Genomic DNA, 25,780 nt, shown 5'->3' with positions numbered 1-25,780 from the left:
TTGGCCAAGGTATGACATGAACTAATAGCACTTCAGGGACAATGGCCTTTCAATGACCATCAGGCATCAGTGCTTCTAAATTGGCCAATTTTGAGTGTCAGGAGGCCAGAAGACATACCATCACATAAGAAAAACACTTTAATCCAGTCATTATAAAGTAGGAGCAAAACAGAGTGGCTGTGGTGTTTATAGCTATAGCTGTAATCTCAGTCTAGGTCCATTCAGTCAAGAAGATTGTTTCCAGTCTACTAGAAAACACTTCCAATAAGCCTGAATTACAACCCCAATATCATTTTAGTTTTTTAGATTAACATGTGAAATAAAGAGTTTTTCTTAGTCACAGTTACTTTTACTGCCAAAAACCCAATGAATATCTTTCCCTCTGGAACCAAATACACTGTTTAATTTTAATCTCTTAGCTGACTGACACAGGAACAAAACTGGTTTTGCATTTTCCCTTTTCATTTACTTTTCTGCAATTGATCACTGGCCTTAAAAAGTTGAGAAGATATATTTCAGTTGCCATTTTCTGTACTGGTTTTCATTCATTAGTTTTCCTTCTCCTCCTTCCTTTACTCTGCAATCTCCTTCTCTTCTATCACATCAGTTATATCTCTTGCCACAAGCTCACATAATTTCTGTCGTGTGTCTTAGTAATATCTAATTTGTTACGATGTATTATGCATGCAAATGTAATTGCAGAGGAGGAGTTAAGCAGAATGACAGCTTAAAGAGGCATATTTTTTTTGACTCTGTCACTCCCAGAAAACAGCATAAAGAGATCTGGGACAACTAGATGTCGTGATGAAAACATTAGAACGCCAGGATATCAAATTAAACAATAGAACTGTCCCACTGAACCCCCATCATCTCTCACATGCAATGAGAGCCAGTAACATAGAAGAAAGCTATATGAAGTTGAGACAATTATTTGTCCTAAAATCTGCCTTTAATTTTAACACTGTGAAAAATAAAATGAAAATTGTGACTTCAGCACAACACTTTTGGGTGAGAAATGTATAATTCTCCTTTGTCACACTATATAATTAGTTGTTTACAGACCACTAGGTTTGTGAAAATTCATATTAGCAAAAATAGTAACCTGCAAGCTAACTGAATAAATTCTAATGGCACTAATGACAGTCTTCAAAATTAAGGGATTTTACTTTGATCCTATACCCAAAGAAGAAAAGTACAATGTTATGGGAAGTAACTTACCCTTGTCTTACAAATCAAGTATTGTCCAACCCAACATATCCATTAAAAGATGACAAAGAAAATTTGTTTCTTAAAATATGGTGCTAGAAAAATAATCTGGAAATAATTTGTTTCAACTGCTACCAGGAAATCTAAAATATGGTCTCAAATGGAATTACTTTGCATATAATAGATTTCAGACAATAAATGTTAACCCCAGAAATAAATTCATTTGACTCAGTGTTTACACAGTAAAAAGTGAAGTAGGACCTTCTCTAAATAGCACTTGAGCTAGAGCTGGTAAACCTTGTAAACCAGTCCTTTCTCCTTTTCAGACACACCATTATATGTGCTCATTATTTCTGGAGACCCAGAAAAGTTTGGAAGACACTCACAGAAAGGGATTTATATGTGTGGAGGAATCTCCTATACCTCTCTAACCCAAAGAGACTGAAATTAGGAAACAGGCCTAATTGAGAACAAATATTAGCTACATAGGCTTGGCCCACTATCCTGAAAGTTTATTTCTATTCAGTCATAATTTAGATACTTAGGGAAATTCCAAGAGGAAAAAAAAAAAAAACATGCTCTCTCAACATATAGCAGAAGATGGCAATGAGAACAGCAGCTTAGGATGGATGGGAAAGCAGAAACCCAGGCCCAGAACTGCGGCTTCTCAGAATTCTGAGAAGCTGAGATTAAGCCTGGAGACTTTGTTCCTTCCTCTGTTTCTTTCATTCTTTAAAAATGTGTTACTAATTTATATTTTCAGACCAGAAGGCAACCTTATTTTCTTTACCAGTCTTGAATCCAGACTGGCACAGCACTGTTATATTTGGGAAAATACAAATGGCTGTGGAATTCTTGGGGAAGATGTAGACAAGCCTTGACGTTGTACAATTCCTTTTCACTATGCACATCCCTGCTTAGCCTGGGCAGAGCCTCTGTACATGAGGACGAACATGAATACAAGATGAACACCAACTGATGTACTGACCTACAGACATCTCAACATTACAGCCGCTGTTATGTCTGTGAAAGAGTTCACGTGGGCTTCCACTTCTTTACTACATGAACTCCCAAATACCCACTTTCAACTATTTATTCTTATCCTCATTTATAGAATAAAGCTGACCCAAAACACCACCACTAAGGGAGAATGACTTTGCAACTAGTGGCAAGATTAAATAATGTTGGAACTTTGTAGCCCAAGTTAGCACTGAAGAAAAGATAGTTCAGACAATAAACGTATCAGTGCCATGTGACCCTTGTCAGCATATTAAGGAAGTAATGCAATAATAATAAATTGCACTGGATTGGGATGGACTATGGTCACAAATGGAAATTGTGCCTTCAGCCCAATACTGTCGGGGGAAAAATGTATAAATCTCCTTTATCACACTGTATAATTAGTTATTTCAGACCAAATAAGTAGAAAAATAAGTAGTCTCTTGAATGATTCGACATCTGAAGTGTCAGACATCGCTTTGTATGACAATAAAACTCTGCCAGCTAATCTTCAGGTTGTCTAATAATCTTGTCTCCTTGTCCTAATCTCAGGTCAACCTTTGACCTGAATTAAAGTGGGTCTGGTCATCAAAATCTAAACTACAGACATAGCTGCTTAAATCTTAGAAATGATCACTGTTCTGGGCAGCAGGATGGCTCATCAGAATGCATCACTGAGAGAAAACACAACTGGGCCCTTATTTCCCTCTTTGGTTCCCTTTTCAGTGGTCTACCACTCTGCTTCCAGTCCTGTTCATAGTAGCCCCTATCTGAAACCTTTGTTGATCTCCTGCTAACTCATTCTTGAATTACTCCCATGTAAAAAACAAAAGGACCATCAGAAAGGTTAAGATGTGATAACATGCCAGTGACAATATCCAAAATCCTCCCCATAATAAGTCCCCCTGTGTCCTGGCCTATCCCTATACCTCCAGATTTATCTTCTGGTTCTCCATGCTCCCCTCTCTAGTCTTCAGTAATGACTAATTGACTATGCTATTTAACAGCTTTGAGACCGATTATGGTATTTCCTCTGCCTGGAGCAACATCACTATTCACCTATCTCCATCTCCTTCCACTTGGCCAAATCACTTCCAAGATACTTTCTCTGACTCTCCAATAAGGTTTCACTGGCCCATCAGTGATTTGCTACATGTACCACCAGCAGAGCATCTACCACACTACCCTGAAACTGCTTACTTGCTCCTCCTATAGACAGATATCTTCCAGGAATACAGATTATTTCCTATTCATTTCACATCCCTAGCAACTAGCAGACTGTCTGGCACAAAGATGGCATTAAAGAGATGTTTTTGAACTAAGCCAGAATTTCTTCTCTCAGCATTATTGACATTTTTGGACCAGATAATTCTTTGTTGTAGGGGCTGTTTTGCACATTGTAAGATGTTTAATAGCATCCCTGGCTTCTGCCCACCAGATAGATGTTAATAGAGCACCGAGTCCACAGATGTGACAATCAAAATGTCTCCAAACATTGCAAAATTTTGCAGTGGTGGGGAGGGGTGTAAAATTGCCACCAATTGAGGACCACACATCTCAACTATTGTTCGCTGCTGACAATAATCCTCGAACAGATTATAATGCCTATTTGCTATCAATAAGACTGCTAAGGTGTCAGAATTTAAACATAGTAAAGCCAGAAAGCAGTTAACATTTTTCTACAACTCCCTTTATATCACTGACAATAGGTTAGTGTCCCCAGACATTGAAATCTGGTTCTCAGCAGACCACAGTCTTCTTTATCTGGGGGTTTAGATAGGGAAAAAAGTTGTTTCCTTGTTTTTGATGATTTCAATTCATGCTAGAAATGGCATTAGTCAAAGGCAAAAATTCTTGCCTTCCCAGATGCTCCTAACATAGCACCTTTCATTCCAAGACTAACAGTAGGGTTGGGAGATACCCTGAGAAGTAAAGCAAATATTCATATCCTACACTGCCACTGGCCCACCTGGTGACATTGGACAAGTTACTGAATATCTGAAAGGGTTGTGGGATTAAATAACAGCATGCTTGTAAAGTGAGTGTCACATAATAGGTATTCAACAAATAGCATTTGATAGAATTAAAGTGACTTCTGAGGTTATTACAACCTCTCTCAGAGAAGCCAAATGAATTGTCCAAGGCCTCAAAGTACATCATGAAAGTAACACTAGAATCTGAGACTCCTGACTCTTGTCCAGAGTTCTCTCTATTACGCCAGATTTTTCTAATCACAAATCATGACCCTAGGAATAAGACAGAGGGATAATGTCTTAGTCCATTTTGTGTTGCTATAAAGGAACAGTGGAGTCTGGGTAATTTATAAAGAAAATAAGCTTCTTTAGCTCATAGTTCTGCTGATCATACAAGGAGCATGGCACTGGCTTCTGTCTTCTAATGATGGTTTTTGTGCTGCATCAGAACATGAGAGAGAAGGTCAAAAGGAAAGTGATCATATGCAAGGAGGGGCCCAACCCCAGAGGTGTCCTGGCATTATATCAACCCACTCTTGGGGAAACTAATTTATGCCCTCAAGAACCAATTGATTCTCATGAGAGTAAGAACTCACTCACTGCCACCAGAATACCACCAGGCTGTTCATGAGGCATCACCCTCCACAACCCAAACACCTCCCACTAGGTCGCACCTCCCAACAACATGACTCTGGGGATTAAATTTCAACATGATATTTGGAGGGGACAAATACCCAAACTATAGCAGAGCAGAAAAGGACACAGGAAAACATTGTTAAACCTAATCCCAACTGCTTGTGAATGGGGTGAAAAGTAAAGGCCAAAAGTGTTTTTAAAAAAATATCTGTCCCATTAGTCCACAGATAAGTGATTCAAAACTTATAATTCTAAATCACACTGCCTAGGGTTGGTGAGGAGTCCAAGAAATGTAAAACTCTATGAGAGCATTGGTGGCTTCTGATATTGCACACGTTTAAGTTAGAAGGGTTTGCCACTAGTATTAGTTTTTTAAAGGCTCTTTCTTTTAATAAACAGTAGTTGGACATCCATTTGAACAGGGTGAACCATCGGCTGCCTTTAAGAATATTCATCACCTGTCTTGTTAGACTTAGATGCCATCCTATGCTGGGAGGCAAACTGGTGAACTCTGTGACTTCTGTAAGTCCTTTTTAGCCCTCTGATTTTAGCACTTTGATTTTCTATTTATGATCTTCCAGGAAAAAGGAATGGAGTTAACTTGTTCACGTTAAGTCCATTCATATATTTTGAATAAGGTATAGAGGAGAGTTTTTGAGTGACTCCTCACTCATCTGAAGGTCTGTGACCTATGAACTGCCTCAAGGCTTTCTCTTCAACCTCTCTTTGGGGTATTCCCAACCTATTTGAGCTATTAAGCTCTCCACTCTTTGAATAAAGATTTTATTTTAAGTATTTATGAAATGAGTTTACTAGTTACTAAACATGTGTCTACTTCTCTAGTGAATATTTATATCTAATAAATAAGCAAATAAAGTCATACGGACAGAGCTTCATCAAGAATATCTTGATGTTCATTGAACATCTGTGATCTCAGTTTGTAAAGTGCATCGCCCAAGGTAATACTACCCTCTGAACTGAATTAGCTTGCATTTTTTCAGAGCCCATCTGTAACTTGTCAAGCAAGGACTCCGATTCAACAATTTGCTGCAAAAGAGGGGATTTATCTACATCTTTGAGTGGCCATTTCACACCTCCCTCTCTAAACTCCAGACCCAACTATCCACATATATTCCTTTTTCACTCCTTAAAGCAATAGCAATTCTTCTGTGATTGAAGTAATTTCTCTAGAAAGGCTATTTCTTGCAATTTAATAAAAGCCTCCTTTTTTCCTCCTCTGAGGTGTTGAATTTAGAGTCTGTGGTTATGCCACTTGCAAGGTGGAGCAAGTGTCTAGTGGAGGCGGTGTCACAGAAATAGAATGCCACGGGATTAACTTTTTAACAATTACCAGTTAGTTTGATAGTAGAACCAAACAACTACATTTCTTCTGTATTCATGTAGTCAAGTTTGTTTCAGTAAATCCTGCAGAGAAATAGAGCCAGTTAATAGTTTCTTTAGAAATAACACCCACAAATTGAAATGAAATATCACTATTCATGAAAATAATGCTTTTACAAGATGATATGGCACTAAAAAAGAACATTTTGTTTTGTAATTTGTTTTTGAAAACATAATTTGGAATTGTATAATGGAATTTTGATCAAAAGTGTGAATAAGTTTTCTGCAAGTAACTACAAATCCTTATATACGCTCTATTTCAATAATAATAATTTCCCTCAATTCCAATGTTATATTTTTATTCTTGCAGATAATAGAGAAAGCTACTGTAAGACAATTGTATTGACAAAACCTCTAAAATTTACTTTTAATTTTATCATAACTAAATGCTAATTGAAACAAATAATAGGATAGTCTCTTTTTTGTTGCTGTATTCCAAAAAGAAAAGGAACAAAATAAGTCAATAAACTTAAAAGGCATTTATTAAATATCTATTGTGAGTTTGGCACCAGAGTAACATGTATAAAAAGAGCTCAAAAAAGACACTTTGGAAAAGACACTGCCATCTTAAGGGTTACCTTTATCACCACCGTTAATGCTGTAAAAATTAACAACGTATATTAGTTATGATAATACGAATGCTGTCGCAAACCGACCACCAAATTTCATGTCTTGTTCCAATAAAATTTAATTCATGACAACACAACAGTTTAGTTGTGTAGCTAAAGAGACAGCTTTTTACATTTCAACGCATAAAGACATTTTTACATTGTGGCTCTGCTGTTTTATAGGGTCTTAGAGGGGTCCTCATTCGGCCAGACAATGAGGAAAGACAAGAAGGGTACAACAGGTGTTTATGGGCCAGGTCTGAAAGTGGTACCTATCACTTCAGTTTATATGCCATTAGCTGGAACTCAGTCAAATGGCCACATCTAACTGCAATGGAGGATGGAAAATATGGTCCAGCTGTGTGCACAGAAATAAAAGGAAAATGCTTTGGTGAGCTGCTCGCCACATAATGACTTAGCGGAGAGAAAACGAAATGGAAATTAAAAGTCAGAATGTTGGATGTTGTGATACTACTAAGTAGCATATGATGTACCACAAATGTATTAATATTCTGGGACCACAACTTTTGTATAAGAGAAGGTAGCCACGATATTCTGATCCTGCATCCAAAAAAATATTAATAAGAGAACAAATTTATGGAAGCACAGTAAAGTTGTAAGGAAATGAAAAATACAGTTGTTTCAAACAACGAGGTGCTATATAATAAATGTTTGCTTTAAACATATTTTCCCAACAGCTTTATTAAGGTACAATTGACATACAACAAATTACACATATTTAATGACTGCAGTTTGATGTTTATATATACACACACTCATGAAACCATAACATCAAGATAAACTTATCCAACACCCCCAAAACTTCCTCCTGTCACATTACCGTCCCCCAAATCCTAACCATCCTGCCCCTATTTCTAGGCAACTATCAATTTACTTTTTGTCACTACAGATTAGTTTGCCTCATCTAGAATCTTATACAAATAAAAACATACTCCTTTCTGACCAACTTTTTCACTCATAATGATTATTTTGAGATCCATTTAAATTGTTATATATCAATTATGGCTTCCTCTAGATTGCTGAAAAAAATATTCCACAATTTGCTTATCCATTAATCTGTGGTGGGTATTCAGGTTGTTTCCCAGTTTCTATAATTACAAATAAAGCGGCTATGAACCTTTACATACAAATATTTCAATAAACATGTTTTCATTTTGCTTTGATAAATACCTAGGAGGGGAACATCTCAATAATAATTTTCTTTGTTTCTTTTGTCTGCTTTTTCTGCTTTCTTTTGGGTTAGTTGATCAATTTTAATGATTTCATTTTGCCTCTTATATTAAATTATTATTTGTACCTTATAAAATTCTTAGTGGTTGCCATAGGGCTTTCCAATATACTCTAAACATGTGTAACGTTATTGGTATTTTTGGTTTAACGATATCTTTTAGAGCTATTAAATTCTAAGAAAAAATAAATTGTATTTTTACCTTTATTTATTTTTCAACACCCTTTATTTCTTCTGATAAATATTATAGTACTCATGCCTGAAAAAATACTCCCTTAAAATGCTGTATAAAGTGAGGCCGCCAGGAATGAATTCTCTCCATTTTTCTGTGTCTGAGAAAGTATTGCTTCTACTCCACTTTTAGAGAATATTTTCACTGGGCATAGAATCCTAGATTGACAGATTTTGTTTTTGTTTTTGTTTTTCTTTCATCATTCTAAAGGTGCTCCTCACTTGTCTTCTTGATCACATGGTTTCTGATAAGTCTGCTATATTTAGCATCTTGTTCCTTCATAGGTAATGTATCTTTCCTCTAGCTACCTTCAAAATCATCTCTTAATATTTCACTTTCAGCAGTCTAAATATAAAATTTCTAGGTGTGGTTTTCATGGTATTGATTCTGCTTGGTGTTCTCTAATTTTTTTGGACTAATTTGCTTATGTCTATCCATCATTTTAGAAAATTTCAACTTTTATTTCTTCAAATATTTCTACCACCCATTCCTGTTCTCCTGAAAGAAATTCAATTATGCCTGTATTAAACCACTCAATGTTCTCCCACAACTCTTGAATGCTCTGTTCTGTTTTTCTTTTCTTCCTTCACCCCACCGCCGCCCGCCTCCACCCTTTGCACGTTGTGTTTTACTTTGTGCAATCTACTGGCCTCTCTTCAATTCACTGATTCTTTCCGTGGCTAAGTCAAGTCTACGAATGATTCTATGAAAAACATTCTTCATTTGTGTTACAATGTTTTTAATTTCTAGCATTTCTGTTTAAAACTTTCTAGTTTGTCTCTCTGCTGAAACCAGTCATCTGATCTTGCATGCAATCTAACTTTTCTATTAGGGCTTTTAAGGTATTAATCATGGTTATTATAAATTTTCTGTCAAATAGTTCCAACATGAGTGTCATATCTGAGTCTCCTTTTGGTGATCACCTTATCTCCTTCAGAATATGTTTTTCCTTGCCTTTTTATATGCCTTATAATTTTTTGTTGAAAGCCAGACATCTTGTATAGGACAGTGCAGACTGAGGTAAGTATTTCTATGCTTGGGTATGAACACATCTTTTTTCTGGTAGCCCATTACTGAGGGGTTTACTTTGATCTAGTCCGGAGCTGAGCTCTCTTTGAGATTTGTTGTTGCTATGGCTAGCCTTAGCTCACCACAGGCTTCAAATTCCTCTAGTAGTATCTTGAGTTGAGGGTGTGGGATGGTTGGCTAGGGTAATTTTTTTAATATTTGTTTCCCTTTTGGTATTTTTCCACTGCACTGCTCCTCAGAGAGAATCTGTTTCTTGCAGCTCTTCCAACTGTACTCCACTCTTACCCGTATTCAACAGCTGTTAGCCTAGTGGCAGAGGAGGAAAAGGAGGTATTCTCTACTGTTTTAAATAATTCTCAGTCTTAGGCTACTACAATGCCTGTGAGTCCAACAAAGAAGCGTCTTTTACAAATGCTCTTGCCTCTCTTCTTGCTGTAGTATCGAGCCTGAAACTTATTCTTGCTCCTCTTCAGGGGTAGTGCTTTTATAAAAATTTCCTTCCCCAAATTGCAGTGGGTTTCTACCAGTGCCCTAAAGCAGTGTCGTTTTGTTACTCTTCACCACCACCACTCACCCTCAAAGATTAAGGCATTTAATCTGAAAGGGAGATAGAAAAAATAATTAGGGCTAATGTTTTGGTAGCTGCTCTTCCCTTTCTGCATCAATCACCATGAGAAAATATATCACAGGATTTTTTCCCATCATCCTATTAGAGCCTTGTGCATCAAGGCTTTCCTAAAAGAATGTTAGAATATGAAAATGTTATTATTTCTGAAGTCTCCAGAGGCTTTGCACTCTCATGCCAGCCCACAGATTCTATTTTTAGCGATTTTTAGTTCTATCTTCTCACTGGCTTTTATAGTAGCCAGTGGTGTTAGCCTCGGTAAGCAAATGCTTGGATCCCGTTTCTCTCTCAGATGCCTCACTATCCCAAGGTTTCCCATTGCAACTCTCTGATAAGTTCAATGAAAGTCATTAATTTGCAGTTTGTCCAGCATTTTCCTTGTTGCAGTGTTTTTTCCAGGCCTTTCCATCTTGAAGCTGAAATAGAAACTGATCTGGTTACAGAAATCCATGTTGACAGTTTTTTTTCTTTCAGTACTATAAAACTGCTGCTCCACTGTCTTCTCACTTGCATTGTTTCTAGCAAGAAATCTGCCATTCCATTTTTGGTCCTCTGTAGACAACATGTCTTTTTATCTCCTTTTAAGATTTCCATTTTATCATTCATTATGAGTAAATAAATTATTTTGTGCCTGTGTATAGTTTTCTACTTGGGGTCTATTAAGCTTCTTCAATCCATCTGTGGGTTTATAGTTTTCCATAATTTCTTCAAACATTTTCTGTCCCCTCTCCTTTTTCCACTCCTTTGGGGATTCCAATTACACATGTATTAGAAAGTGTGTGTGTGTGTGTGTGTGTGTGTGTGTGTGTGTGTGTTCATCTGATGGTCTTTGTATTCTTTTTAAGATACAAAGCATTTAAAAAAAATGTAAATTCCTAATACTGGAATTGCTGGATTGAATGGTAGTTCTATTTTTGGTTCTTTGTGAAATCTCCATACAGTTTTCCATCGATAGGGTGTTGAACTAATTTACATTCCCACCAACAGCATATAAGCATTCTCTTTCCTCTGCATCCTCGCCAACATTTGTTATTTTTTGACTTTTTAGTAATAGCCATTCTGATGGGTGTGAGGTGATATCTCATTGTGGTTTTAGTTTGCATTTTTCTGATGATTAGTGATGTAGAGCTAGCCATAGGCAGAAGAATGAAACCGGACCCCTACCTCTCACCCTATATAAAATTTAACTCAAGATGGATTAAAGAATTAAATTTAAATTTTCAAACTATAAAAATCTCAGAAAAAAACCCAGGAAAAACTCTTCAAGACATGAGCCTGGGCAAAGAATTTTTGACTAAGACCTCAAAAGCAAACGCTACAGAAACAAAAAATTGACAAATTGGACTTAATTAACTAAAAAGCTTCTGCGTAGTAAAAGAAATAATCAACAGAGTAAACAGAGAACCACAAAATGGGAGAGAATATTTGCAGACTAGGCATCTGACAAGAGACTGATATACACAATCTATAAGGAACTTAAATCAATGAGAAACAAATAACTCCATTAAAAAGTGAACAAAGGACATGAATATGCACTTCTCAAAAGAAGACATACAAACAGCAAACAAACATATGTTGTTGTATTCCTTAAGTCTTTTCCCCTCTGTTTTTTATTTTGCATATTTTCTACTGCTCAATCTTAACGTTTAATAAACTTTTCTTCCGCAATATCTAATCTGCCATTAATTCCACTCATTGTATTTTAAATCTCAGACATTATAATTTTCATCTCTAGAAGTTTGATTTTGGTCTATTTTTTAATTCCTCATGTCTCTATGTAACATTTTCAATCTTTTCTTTAGATTTTGAATATATGGAGTACAGTTATAATAAACCTTTTAATGTCTTTGTGTATTAAGTCTAACATCTGTTTTAGATCTGAGTTGGTTTCAATTGATTAATTTTTCTCCTTATTATGAATTTCATTTTCTTGCTTCTTTTCATGCCTACTAATTTGTTGATTGCATGCCAGAAATTTTGAATCATACATTGTGGGATGTTGGATATTTTATATTCCTCTAAAATTCTTGAACATTGTTCTGGGACTCTGTTAAGTAACTTGGAAATGGTTTGATTCTTTTGGGTCTTGCTTTTAAGATTTGTTAGGCTGAAGAAAAACAGTAGTCTATGTCTAATTTTTCCCCTCTACTGAGGCAAGACGCTTCTGAGTATTTACCCAATTCACTGTAAATTACATGATTTCCCAGTCTGGCTGGAGAATAAGCAATATCCTTAGCCCTGTGTGAGCTCTGAGTACGGCTGCTCTCAATTCTATGAGGTAGTTCTTTTCCTGGCCTCCAGCAATTTCCTCAGACGTATTGTCTGAGCAGTACTTCGCTGATTACTTGAGGAGGAACTCTTGCAGGTACCTGGAGGTTTTGTTTTCTGTTTTGTTGTGTACCTCCCTTCTTTCCATTACTCTGCAATGTGAACTCTAGCTATGGTCATCTCCCTAAAATCTCAGCTCCTTCTCTTAGGAAGCCTTAGGAAGTATTCTGGGCATTGTCTGGCTTCCGCCTTCATGTACTGCAGTCTGAAAATCCTTTAAGGCAATAAACTGGGACAATTTTAGGCCTGACTTTGTTTGTTTTCTGACTTCAGGATCACTGTCCTTCATTCTCCAATGTTCAATGTCTTGAAAACTCTGCTTTAGTATATTTTGTCCACTGCTTTTAGTTATTTCAAGTCGGGGAGTAAATCTCATGCCCTGTTACTCCATTTTGATAGAAAGTAAAAGTCTTAAAACATATTCGAGTACACAAACTATTTTGAACATTTCCTGAATATATAACCACTTCATTAGAAACACTCATATCAAGATAAAATGGACATAGTATAGTTTTAGCACTTATACTAGGTAGTTAATTTTTTTTTTATCACTTGGAACCCAGAATTTATTTCTGCTTTTTGTATGACATAAAACCAAAATTCTTTTGGGGAACTTGTCTTCCTGACTAGTCCATGTAGTTTATTTGGGGGTCAATTCCTGGCTTAAATGATTAAAAAATGCTATATCAATGTAGTTTGAATTTGCATTTTTCTTATTATGAGTGAGATTAAGTAAATATTCATATGCTTAAGAACAATTTATAGGTCCTTTTTAGTGAACTGTCAATTCATATCCTGGCTCCATTTTGAGAGAGGATTATGCGTACCACTCTTAAAATTTTCTGTGAGCTCTCTATGTAGTTAAAAGAGTGACCCATTTGTCTCATATATTGGTTGAACTGAGCATTTATTTGCTTATTGAATTATAGCCTTGCTTAAAGCATTTTTACTCAGTAGATATTTATTTTTGTATAGTAAAATGTTTCATTTTTTTGACTTCTAAATTTTTAATTATGGTTAAACCCTTCCTAATTCTAGAAATATAAAGGATTTTGCCAGTGTCTTCTTTTAGTACTCTTATTGTTTTTATATAACCTCTTACAAATTAATTACCAGCATTTATTAGTGTTCTTCCCAAATACTCCAGCCACAATGTACTTGTTTCTGAATTCTTATAGCACAGATTGAGCAATATCATTTGTTATAATTATTTGCTTTCATAATAATTTTATATTATATAGTTTCATGTATCTCATGATCCCTAGCTAAACTATGAGCTCAGTGACAACATGGATCACATTTTCTTTTTTTATTTACACAAAGTCCTAGCAAAATGCTGAACACAGAATACAACCTGCTAAGGACTAGATGTCGACACCTAAGTATAAAGGAAGGCATTGTGTTATCTGTCTTTTTAATTCCTCAGCATATTTTAAGTGATATACTTCTAATAATGCTTGGTTAATATTAAAATATACTGACTTTATGCATAATAATTAAGACAAAGACATGTTTTCATTGTGCATACACACATGCTATACATGACATGAATAAAGTGATAAATACATAATGTTTTACAACAACAGTAAACTGCCATAATATACTACATATATAATAACCATTATAATTTCATAGCTTTTATATGGTTTAAGTCCAACTTTCACAGTGGCTTTCACAGTGTTTTTTCCTTTATCATAGTCTGGTTTCTTTAAGTCATGTAACATGATCTCATTTGATGCTAATGGTTTAAAAAACATTTTGCTCATATTTTCTGAACTCCTGACTTCCTAAATACTATATATCTTGGACAAACAACATAACTTTTCTAAAACTAGTTATCTGCTTGTAAAATGGAAATAACAGGAAATAATAAGATCTTTGTTCAACTCAAGAGTTAGAAATAAATACCATAACTAAAATGCCTAGGATAAAGGCTGACACACAGTCAGTTTTAATAAAATAGTGTCATCATTGTCATTATTTTCTTCAACATCCTTATTCTAAGTTGTTATTTCTTTTGTTTCTTTTTTAACCTCTCTAGTGTGTGTGATTCCTTTCTTTTTTCTGCCTTTCCTTCCTTCTTTTTATTGTTTTTATTATCTTTTTCTTTAATATGCATGTTACTTGCTCCAATCTTGCTTTAACCTCACTCTTCTAACCCTGGGTACAGTTTGCACTTCACTGGAGATCTTGAAATATTTGGAAACATGTTTTTCCTTAAATGCCCGGTTTTAACTTAGTTTTTCTCCATTAGGTAGGCATCCCAACACTTAGGCACCAGCAGAAGCACTAAGCCACCACTCCCTAGAGGCAAGAAATGCAGTTCTCCTCCCCTTCTCCCAGTTCCCATCTCTTCTCTGCCACAGCCCCCTTTCTACCTTTACCAATCTAAGCAGAGAACCCTTTTCCTAGTGTGAAAGGGACCATAAAAGCCCCCCGCCTCATCTGCTATGTCATGCACACAGCTCCATGCTATCTTGTTGGGCCATGTTGTCCATCTCTGAAACTATCAGCTTGAATGATGAAACATAAAATAACTAAAATATATTGAGTGTTGCTATTCGCCAAGCAATATGTTGAAACTTTTATGGGCATTATCTCATGGAATCTTGGATAATACATTGAGGTAGATATTATGACCTGTTTACAGTGAGAAAACTAGGGCTTAAGTTGTTAAACAATTTGCCCAAGGTCACACAGATGGGAAGTAGCAGGCACAAGACCTGAACCCAGGTGTGCTTAACTCCAAAATACATGTATTATACCTTAAAAACCAATTCTATCCTCTAAGAAAAGGAGATACATTCACCATGTCATTTGATACTTTTACTATCAAAACAAAAGCCAACCGAGAATGAGAATAGTCAAGAACTGGCTTTGAACATGAAAAATGCCTAAGAATTAGCCAATCAAATGACCTCTGAGCCACAGATGAATACCACAGAGCAAGTTAAAAAACAAATGTCTCAATGAAACAAAATTTCCAGGGAGAATTGAAAATGCTCTTTGGATCCACCACAATATTTTCCTAAGGGTAACTTATATTTTCCCTTCGATTTTCAAGTAGGGGAAATGTCAGTTTTGCTCTCCTTTTTTTTCTTAGTTCAGAATGGCCAAATATTGAACTTTGGACCCTCTCAACTATTAGGGCCTCCATATCTCTTGAACTCCTTTTATAGTATAAATAAAATGAATTTCTATTGTCTGTTGTTCTAAAACTCCTGCCTTTTTTAAACTCTGTTTTTAAATTAGTAATTTTCACTACCTCATGCAATCTTCTAAATTACTTTTTAGAGTGCTGGCTATTAATATTTTAGGTGGCTTTGATGTTTTACTTTATAGTCTTCAATTTTATTTTACATTTCACAGGTTCCTAGTTGCAAATAATCCTACAGGCAATTTTCTCACACTGCAACTATTCCTTGAAAGATATGCTAATGCAGCATGACACTTGCAATACTGGGGGTTAAGTTAATCACCCAAAATGAGTTGTATTACTGTCAGTGGTGTATAAAGACATCCCATAGTGAATTACAAGGAAGGCTAGCTTTAAAGCTGAATTTCAAAAAATACCCAAAGCTGGAGATGAACAAAAATAAGCATTTATTTCAAAGTCCATTGAGCTAAAGAATCAAACATTTGTTATTTCTGGTCTCAAAGTTACCCAGTATAAATAAAAGGATTCATATCCTTTACAACTTTTAATTACCAGGAAAACCCTTATAGATCACACATTCCTTCTCTGGGGAAGGCAAACCCTGCATAGCAGTTTCTCTCTTCATATTTATCTGCAAGAAAAGGAAGAAATCACTGTCTTGCTCTCTGTTTTGCTGAACCACATGCCAGTTCTAAAAACCTGCGGAGCAGATTGCCACCCTCTGCTCCCTCCATGAAAGTGATGCTCATGGCAGTATCACAATCTAAATATGCCTTTGCCAGAAATCAAGAGGCAATATATTGACAGATTCATCTCCTCTCCACTACTCAGCTTTTACTTGTGTTTTAACTAATGGCTTAGGCAGGAGGTTTAGGGACCTGCCAATTATATGACCCCTTCCAATCTCTGAAACTTAAGTCACTTGTACTACTACTTTGTATCAACCTCATGGACAGTGAAGGCACACCCAACAACCCTGATTACTTGAATATTATTCCTTACTTTGTTGTTGGGAGAAATTAATGATACCATGCTCCTATGCCCAAACGTGGAGCCACACTGTGGCTCCATTTTCTGTACGTTTTTACACATAGAGGGCTAAGAGCAGCCATCACTGGCAGCTCTGATTCTTATTGGCGGCATCATATGCATTGCCACAGTGCTTTTCCGTATGGGCAGCAGATTAAGGACTTTCAGGAAGACTTAATCCTTTCTGTCAGAAGGATACTTCTTAATAGACTGGCTGCTCAGAGGCAAACTGAGGTAGACTTCAGAGCTGCATTTTAAAATAGCAGCAGTCTGTACTTACAATGATCTAGAATTCTCTTTCCTGTCTTGCAAAAATATTGAAATAAGATTTAGTTACAATGTTGTGAAATCCATTTTTCTGAGAGAAGAAATATATTGTGAAAAGTGTGTTACTTCTCTTGAGAAGATCAAGAGAGTGGGGAAAGAATAAACGTTTACCAGGAACATAGTATTTATTTGCCATGCATATTTGATATGAGTTCATTAAATACGCAATAGAAGTGTCAACATAAAGTGCTGTTTAGATCAAGCTATGAAAACAAACTGCCCTGGTATTAACATTAGAATATACTAAGCTGTGGTTAAATATAAGCCTTATTTACTATACGGTGAAGAAATATTTTATTGACTATTGTTAAATAACCATCTACTTAGCCTAATTGAATTCGCCTTTTATTTATAAAGACTGATGGGTTGAATACCGTGACAGTGTGGTTGCTACTTTCACATACCATCTATTTGCCTTTGCATGAATTTTTCCTCACCCAGCAGCATTCAATAATTAACAATTATCACCAGCCCATGCCTAATTTGAGAGTATTTTCTCAGTCTCACTGGACCATTGCCAAAGCTATATCCAGGGAGGAAGCAAAGTACAGAAGCATCTCTTTGAGGAACACTTGCTGTAGAGCTAGAGTGCATCTGACTGCACCACAGCATGAAAATCCACTCACTGGCAAAATGAAGTGTTTCAAAAGACAGAGTGGACTCAATGCAATCTCTTTTGGGAGATGAAATTTAAACATAGATATTTTGGATTAAAACGCAGATACCTCTGGCAGAAGTAGAAGACTGTATAGTCTTCCTGGCACATTGCCTTACTGACGATCATTAACATAACACAAAAGTACAAACGTAGGAGACTATTATTATCTTTGTGTCTCATGCAATATGCAGGAAAGCTAAACCTGCTATAATTAATACTGACCCTCTCTTTACTGGTAGCTATCCTGGCAATTTTTAGGGAAGAATATCAGGAGAACAATGCATAGTTGAAATTTTTATAATCCAGGCTTTTGCCTTACAAATGATCTCTGCCGCTGCTCTCACCTTAATCTTTCAGGGTAGTAGAAATAAAGGCCATGAATACAGATGTTGCCATCAGGATATACAAACATTTAACAAACATAAGGAAGACATTAGTACTTATTCAAACTCATTTCTAAAATGTTTGAGCCATCTATTCAAATGCCATTTCCATAACTAAAGTTAATAATGAAAATTAGGTTTATCAAATATTTTCATTTAATGGTAGTGTATATTCTCTTGATTCCCTTTCCTCAGTCATGTAGGCCAAAGGATTTGAATAGATAACTATTTTTAAGGTTCAGGAATCGAAAGAAATAGGTATAAACTCAAAAGTTAACTCCCTAATATATTGATGGAATGGTGAATTCAACCTACCTGGTTTCATTTATCAATTCTTCTTTAATTATTTTCTGCAAATTTCCAACTGCTATGTAGGCTAATTCCAGGTAAGGCATTTCATATCATAGTTGGACTGTAAAGAGGCCATGAGGACTAAAATATAAAGTTTCTCTTTCTAGAAAAAACAACAAGGCTTTTGGCCTGAAAAACTAGACCATACTACTTTCCCCAGTGGTTTCATCCAAGCCATCCATTACTTTCCACAAATTTATCTTTCAAAAAATGTAAACCACAAAAAAACCCACTTCATTTACAATATCTTCAGAACAATCTACCACTTAAAATCTTAGCTAAGTGATACCAATAATCAGCTAGGTTGGCTCTGAATTAGGCAGTTTCTGGTAAAATTTAGTTTTTCATTTATATTTTAGTTGATGCAACACTGAATATAGGAATTCTTTTTACTAATGAAAAATTGGTCATGTGTTACAGAATTCTCAGAGGTATTGTGTATACGTTAAGAATATCAGGATTGGCAGATGCGAAGGAGCTATAAGGATTCATTACCACAATGTTGACCATTCCACCTCTTTCTCCTTCCTTTCTCAATATGTAGTTTCTTTTCTGAGGCTGCCTTTTTCTTTTAATGGCATCATCATTAATTCAATCAACCAAGCTACAAACCCTGAAGTCATCTTTAACAACTCTCTCTCTCCCTTGCCTCCTTTCCACTGCTTACAATACCCCTACTCTTCAATCCATCCTCATTTTTGTTTCCATAATTATCTTGCTGAAACAAGGTCCAACTGCAGCTGCAAGGAAAGGTGATACTATGGGAAAAGGATAGAATATTAGGATGAGGATACTAATGATCATTTGGTTACTTTTGCCGTTAATATTACATTGCCTATTTGGCTTAAAGCAAAAACAGGTTTAGGGGTCAAAAACTACGACTTTGAGTACAACATTTACTAGCAGGTGACCTTATGCAAATTACTTGACTTTCCTAAGCATTAGTTTCTTCATTTATAAGATGCTCATAAATTGGAAATCCTCAAAACAATACGCAGTTTTCTATGATTTCTTATCAACCAAGACTCTTAAATGAGTAGTCTGTATTCATTTTTCTACACTATTTCATATAATCAATCCATTATAATCTAGCTTCCATTTCTACACTCACAACTAAAACTACTCTTGCCCATGTTATCCATAAATTCTAATCACAGATTCAGTAGACACATTTCAGCCCACTTCTCAGTGATCTTATTCATGGGATTTATCTCTAATGGTGTCTCAATGAGTAATCAAATATTCTATTCCCTCTCTTGGTTCTCCATACCTGAAAGTTTCTTCTTTATATCCTTCATGGGCTTCTATTTTATTCAGATCCTGATTCTTTCTTCAGGGTTCTATTCTTGATAACTGTCTCTTTCTTTATACTTTCTCTTTGGGCAATCCACTCCAGTGACTTTGAAAATCACCCATACACTGATGAGTCCCATTGCTAAGTCCTTGATTTTACCTCTAAATTTCAGATTTGCATATGCAACTGACTGCTATAGATATGACGTCACCTGTCTCCTGGTCATTTTTAAATCAGCACATCCTAAACAAGTCTTATCTTAACTCATATAAGTGCTCACCCTCCCTGTAGATATTAGCATAAAAATCTCTTCAATCGCCAAAGAAATCTGTATCCCAGAGCTTTGGGGGGGCCGAGGCTGGAGGATTGCTAAAGTCTAGGAGTTCAAGACTAGAGTGGGCAACATAGTGAGACCCATTTCTAAAAAAAAAATTAAAATTAGCCAGGCATGATGGTACACAACTGTAGTCCCAATTAGTCAGAAGTTGAGGTGGGACGATCAACTGAGCCCAGGAGGTCGAGGCTGCAGTGAGCCATGATCACACCACTGCACTCCAGCCTGGGTGACAGAGAAAGACCATATCTCAAGACAAACAAACAAGCAAACAAAAACTCTCTCTTTCTAACTCCACCTGATACTTAGATTTTTATCTCTCTTTATTTCTTGTGTCTATCACCTGCTTCCTATTCTTGTCACTCCTCTAGGTCAGTCCCTCTTGTGTTCCTGGACAAAAGCAATAACTTTCTAATTTGTCTCCCTCCATGCTCTCCTACTTTCTGCTCCATCCTCCCCACAAAATCTAAAGTGGGAGATCTAAAATCAAGTGTGACCATCAGTTCTTCTACGAAAAATGTGTCAGTAGTTTCCTACTGCCCACAGCTTCTTAGCATGGTATGCAGGGCTCAATGTGACCTTGTCCATATCTACCCATCCAACTTCATATTCCATTTAATGTCTTTATACATTACATTATTGTGTTATACATTATTGTTAAACAAATGTTCATACCACACTTCAATTCTTAAACTTTGTAATTCATCTGTGTCTTTGCTTTGATTGTTCTCTTTGCTTGAAATAGTCTTTCTGCTTTTCAACTTCAGGATTCACCCTTCAATTCTCAGTACAGGGAATTTTTCAACAGTCCTTTAATCTAAAAGGACTTTTTTTTTCTATATCATTCTTACCACTGACCACAAGAAAGTGAAATTAAAATTTTGTGTCAATTTACCCTATTAGATAGAACGTACTCAAGGGCACGATCTGTACCTTAATCAACTTTGTACTCTGGGCATTATAGTACTATACACGTAGAGATCACTCTATGATGATGCCCAGTTTCTGCCTTGGGCTTCTATGTAGATGAAGGTATCATTCATTGACACATGGGTTATGTGTTTGAGATGCCAAGGGACAACTGGATGAAAGTATGAAGTAGTTAGAGGAGTATATGAATCTGAGTCAGGCATTGATAGAGATCTGGGCTAGAGATAAAGGTTGAGAAGTCATAATTATATAAATGGTAATCGGGCAATAAGGATTTTCATGAATTGTTTTCTGTTTAAACTTCCATGCCAAAAGCTAATTATTTAGACCTTCTGCTTTAATCAGAGTTGCTACTACAGAAAATCATTTTAATTAACTCAAATACTCAAGAATCTGGATGCCTGCAATATCCCTTGGTCTAGATTAAGTAACACAGTTTTTATTTCAACCAGACTGTTATGTTATTGTGTTGAAAATGAGAATTACCCTCATGAAGCTATTAAACCATCATGAAAAAACATATAAATTAAAGTTTGAATTAAACATTACTGAGCTCTAAAAGGCATGACACCAAAGAACAAGTGCCACTTTGTGGTATTAGAAGTCGACAAATGTCTGCATTTCTAACACACTGATGACTTTCCAACCTATGTTAGCAGAGGCTATACTAAAAGATTAATTCATTTGTATATGCACAGGCAGTAAAAATTGTTCAACTAGGTAACAAAAAGGCCAAGGGCATAAACTAGATATCCATTTCTTTTCTAGTCCCTAGAACCATGAACAAGATGTGCAAAACCTATAATGAACATATAATTCATTATTCCTTAACACTCTGCAAATGTTTTTGAGTACCTACTATATGTCATCTTTGTGCTGTCAACTGGAAATGAGAAGTAAAGAAAACAAGAAAAACTTCCTTTTCTTACTGAGCTTATAGTCTAGTGAGGAAGACAAGAAATAAAATACATAAGTAAAATAGAGGGTGTGCAGGGTGCTGATAAGTCCTATGTAGTAAAATTAGGCAGGAAAAGGGAATATGGAATATTGCAGGAGTGGGCAATTAATTTGAAATAGGGTGGAGAGCAAGGTTATGCATTTTAGGAACAATCTGAAGATAGTTCAAGAGTGAGACTTATAAATATCTGGAGGAAGAGAATTCCAGGCAGAAGCAAAGACTATGAAGTGAAAAAATTCCTAGGGTGTTCAAGGAACAGCAAAAAGACTTTGTGCAAGAGTAAAGAAAGCAAAAGGAAAGTGGCCAGACAGGTAACAGGTGCTCCTGTCATGTCAAACTCTTACAATTTTGAGGACTTTGGCTTGTATACATTTTTATTATGAGTGGGAGCCACTGAAGAGATTTGAGTGCAAGAATGTCACCATTGAACTTGGTTTTTATACTTCTACAGTGGCACTATGGCTTCTGTGCTAACAGTAGACGGTGGGGACAAGGACTGAGTGGGGAGACCAGTTAAAAGACACTTGCAGCAATCCAGGCAAGAGAAGATGTAGCAGCATACGGTGATAGCAAAAGATACAGTGATAAGTGGTTAGATTCAGGATATATTTTAAAGTTAAAGCTACAGAATTTGCCAATAGCTCAAATGTGAATTATAAGAAAAAGTAAAGCTTCAAGAATGATGACAATGTTTTTGGCTTAATCAATTGGAATAATGAAGTTGCTATTAACTGAGTTTGGGAATACTAGAAGAGCAGCAGGTTTGGAGCAGGACGGTGGAGGAAATCAGCTCATTTGGGGCTCATTGAAGGTACTCGTTAAACATTCCAATAAGGATGGTGGGAGGACCATTAGATGAAAGAGTCAAGTTTAGGCATGAGATCTGGCCTAGAGATACAAATTTGAGAGTTATCATCATATAGATAATGAGGGAAAAACTAAAAGATATAAAATAATGTTCTATGAAAGTCAGGTAGTAAATGGACTGAAAACAATTTAGTATGATTGTCTGGCAGCACAAAGGGCCCACTTAATCTACTTGATAAATTTAAAGTGAGACCAGACAGCAATGCACAGACGTAGGTATGAAATAGACAAGGTTGTACTTTTGCCAGCTGTGCCAGCTATTGAGTTGGAATGTGGAGTATCAAAGACTTATTGGAGAGGTATGCCTCCAAAATGAAAGGGGAGGAAGCCAGCAGACGGTAATGCTGACTGACAAATGCCACCCCTGGATCAGGAAGCCCATTGGAGATGTAGCCATTGGCTGGCATTGGCTACATTTCAGTGCCAGGGTCTTGCTTAGTCATCAGCTGGGACAACTCCAAGGATTTAACAGCAGACTCAAAGGTGTTAAAAGCTGGAGGCTGTCAGCTAACTATACTCCTCAGTGCTGGATAACTTTTTCAAAGGTGGATGTGAGACATCTCCGCAATTCTACCAGACCAACTCTTTCATAATTAAATGAGAACACTGAAAATGAATGGTAGGAGATGATGTTATTAACTAAACGTAAAATCTTAGCTGTCTGAGGAGAGAAGTGAAAACATGATATGTGCAAAGGACAATGAAAACAGGAGAATCCATGAACATAGTTTCCAGCAGGACTTAAATATCATTGAAATCAAGGTGAAAAACAAAAATAAGAGGTGCTGGTCATTGTATAGGATGCATACAACTGTGGTAATGGAGAAAGTTCTGGTAATGAGAAGGTTTAAGGTGTGACCCTGGGAGTGAGTGAGTGGCGGCAGTCCAATAGGAAACATTATCACTGGTGGCAGAGGTCAAGGAACTGAGAGGCTGTCATATAGGAAGGATCACCTATGAGAATACTAAAATCACCAAGAGTTATAACAGTATTAGGTTGAGATGCAATGAGCCCTTCAAGTAAGGAAGAGGAGTGACCCAGAGATTAGTAGGTGATTACAACAAGGAGGATGGTGGTAAAAGGTAGATGACTGGAGATTCAAAGCTAAGACAATTTATGGAGAAAGGTGAGAAAATGAAGTTGAAACAGTAACAAGGAACAAGGTGGACCCCTACCATACTTCTAACGCAGATAGCTAAGTAGAGTGGAAACAGCACCCAGTGGAGAGGGCTGCAGAGGTAGCAGTGTTCAGAGCCAGGTTTCCAGTTAGAGCAAGAAGGTGAGACAATTGTTCAGAGAAGGTGCTGACCATACAGAGGATTTTGTAAACAATTGCCCATGATTTCCAGAGGGTCCTATGTCAGGATATTCTGAACTGATGTAAGGGAATTAGAGTGCAGCCGATGAAGAATGGCATGGGTTTCTGGGGCTTTTTATGGAGATAAACACAAACAGAAATAAAAAGTATAACATAGATTGGTCTGTGGGTCTCCCATAGTGGTGGTGAGGCAGGAGCAATGAAAAGTTGAGAAATGGGCAGACACCTGGATGTCCTCTTCGGTCCTGCCAATGGAGACATGGAACACAGAGAGAGGCACTGAAGCCCCTCGCCCATATGTACATAGGATTGCTGTTTGGTGTTCTTGATTACAGAATCATATTATATGCATTGCATGTATTAATACATTCTTTTACACAATAATCAATGCACAATACTGATTTTCAGAAAGAATGAAGCAAAAACAATTTTGACTGCTTAGTATATCTGAGACATGGAGTTAACTGTTTTCACATAACTCAACCAAGTTCTCAACACATAAGAAAGGTATTTACTAGTTTTTTATGCATAAGAAAACTGAAACTCAGAAAGGTCAAGTGACTTGGCTAAGATCATAGCTAATTCACAGCAGAACTAGGATTTTTTATTAGGTCTCTCTGACTTGAAGCCTAGACTAGGCTTACTATATCACACCTTAATACCCATCTTACAGGATGCATCTAATCAGAGTGCTGTTAATATTTTATTTTTCTAAAAGTAGGTGTTAAATTTTTGAGGTATAATATTATATATGTTTCTGATATATAATATCCCTATATAATAAGAATAATTTCATTATATGATATCCCTATATTATAGGGATGATATTGTTATATATTATCCCTTATAATCATTTTTAATAAATTAGTTTATAATTCCACAAAAAAATTTTAAATTCTGTATGTATTTGTTTTCCAGAGTGAAGCCAATATGTCAGGTCCATTGGCCACCTTAAAGTTATAGATATAGGCAGCAAATTACATGGGATTAAATGGAGAATTTTGAGGGCAAAATCATTCACAGCTCAGATTTCCACCAAGAATGAAAAGGAACTCCACAAACTAAGAACTGTGGATCTGAAACCAATAAGCAATGGTGAAATCAAAGACCCAGATTTCCTATAAACTATGCATTTTTCATCCGAAGACCCAGATTTCCTATAAACTATGCATTTTTCATCCATATGATCCATGTATTAAAAATACATGTACTCCCATAGTTTTTGAGATTGGCTGTGAGATAACAGATATGTTAAATCATTATGTTGTTTTCTAAAATTACAATAAAGAATAGATTTTAACAGTAATATAACACTCCAAATAACTATACAAATAGCTCATCATAATCACAAATATTTTCTACATAAACATGTTTATTTTTGTCAAATGTATAACATCAATTATTATAAGTTATATTCTATTCTCCAACACAATAAAATAGCTACGTTCAGTTATACTTAATAAAAGAGATTATTACACTGTCTTTTAAAAAATAAAATTATTCTAATGTAGCATTAGACTAGCTGTCTTTGAAAAGTTGCGAATTTTTTGGCTCTGCCAAGGAAGGCATCCAAATATATTTGTCAAAGCTTGTTCCCTAAGCCTTCTCATCCTTGTAAATGCCAATCAGCCCATTAGGCTGGTGATGAGGAGGGAAGAGGGAACTTGAATCACAAAGCATATTCAGCCCCCTAAGAGATTGAACACTTGAAGATTGATATTTACCATATTTCTTCAAGTCTATAATGTACATTTTCTGAAATCTGGATGTCTTTTAAAAATCTTTGTATAATCAAAGACACTATAGATTTGATAAAATTTGTTAAACTAAATTAATTGTGCTTTAATCTATCCAGCATGACAGAGCAATTCCTACTGGTTAAAATTC

The sequence above is a fragment of the Homo sapiens genome, chromosome 1, assembly GCF_000001405.40.
Source record: "Homo sapiens chromosome 1, GRCh38.p14 Primary Assembly".
NCBI classification, from domain to species: Eukaryota; Metazoa; Chordata; class Mammalia; order Primates; family Hominidae; genus Homo; species Homo sapiens.
Note: the sequence above shows the minus strand (reverse complement) of the source record.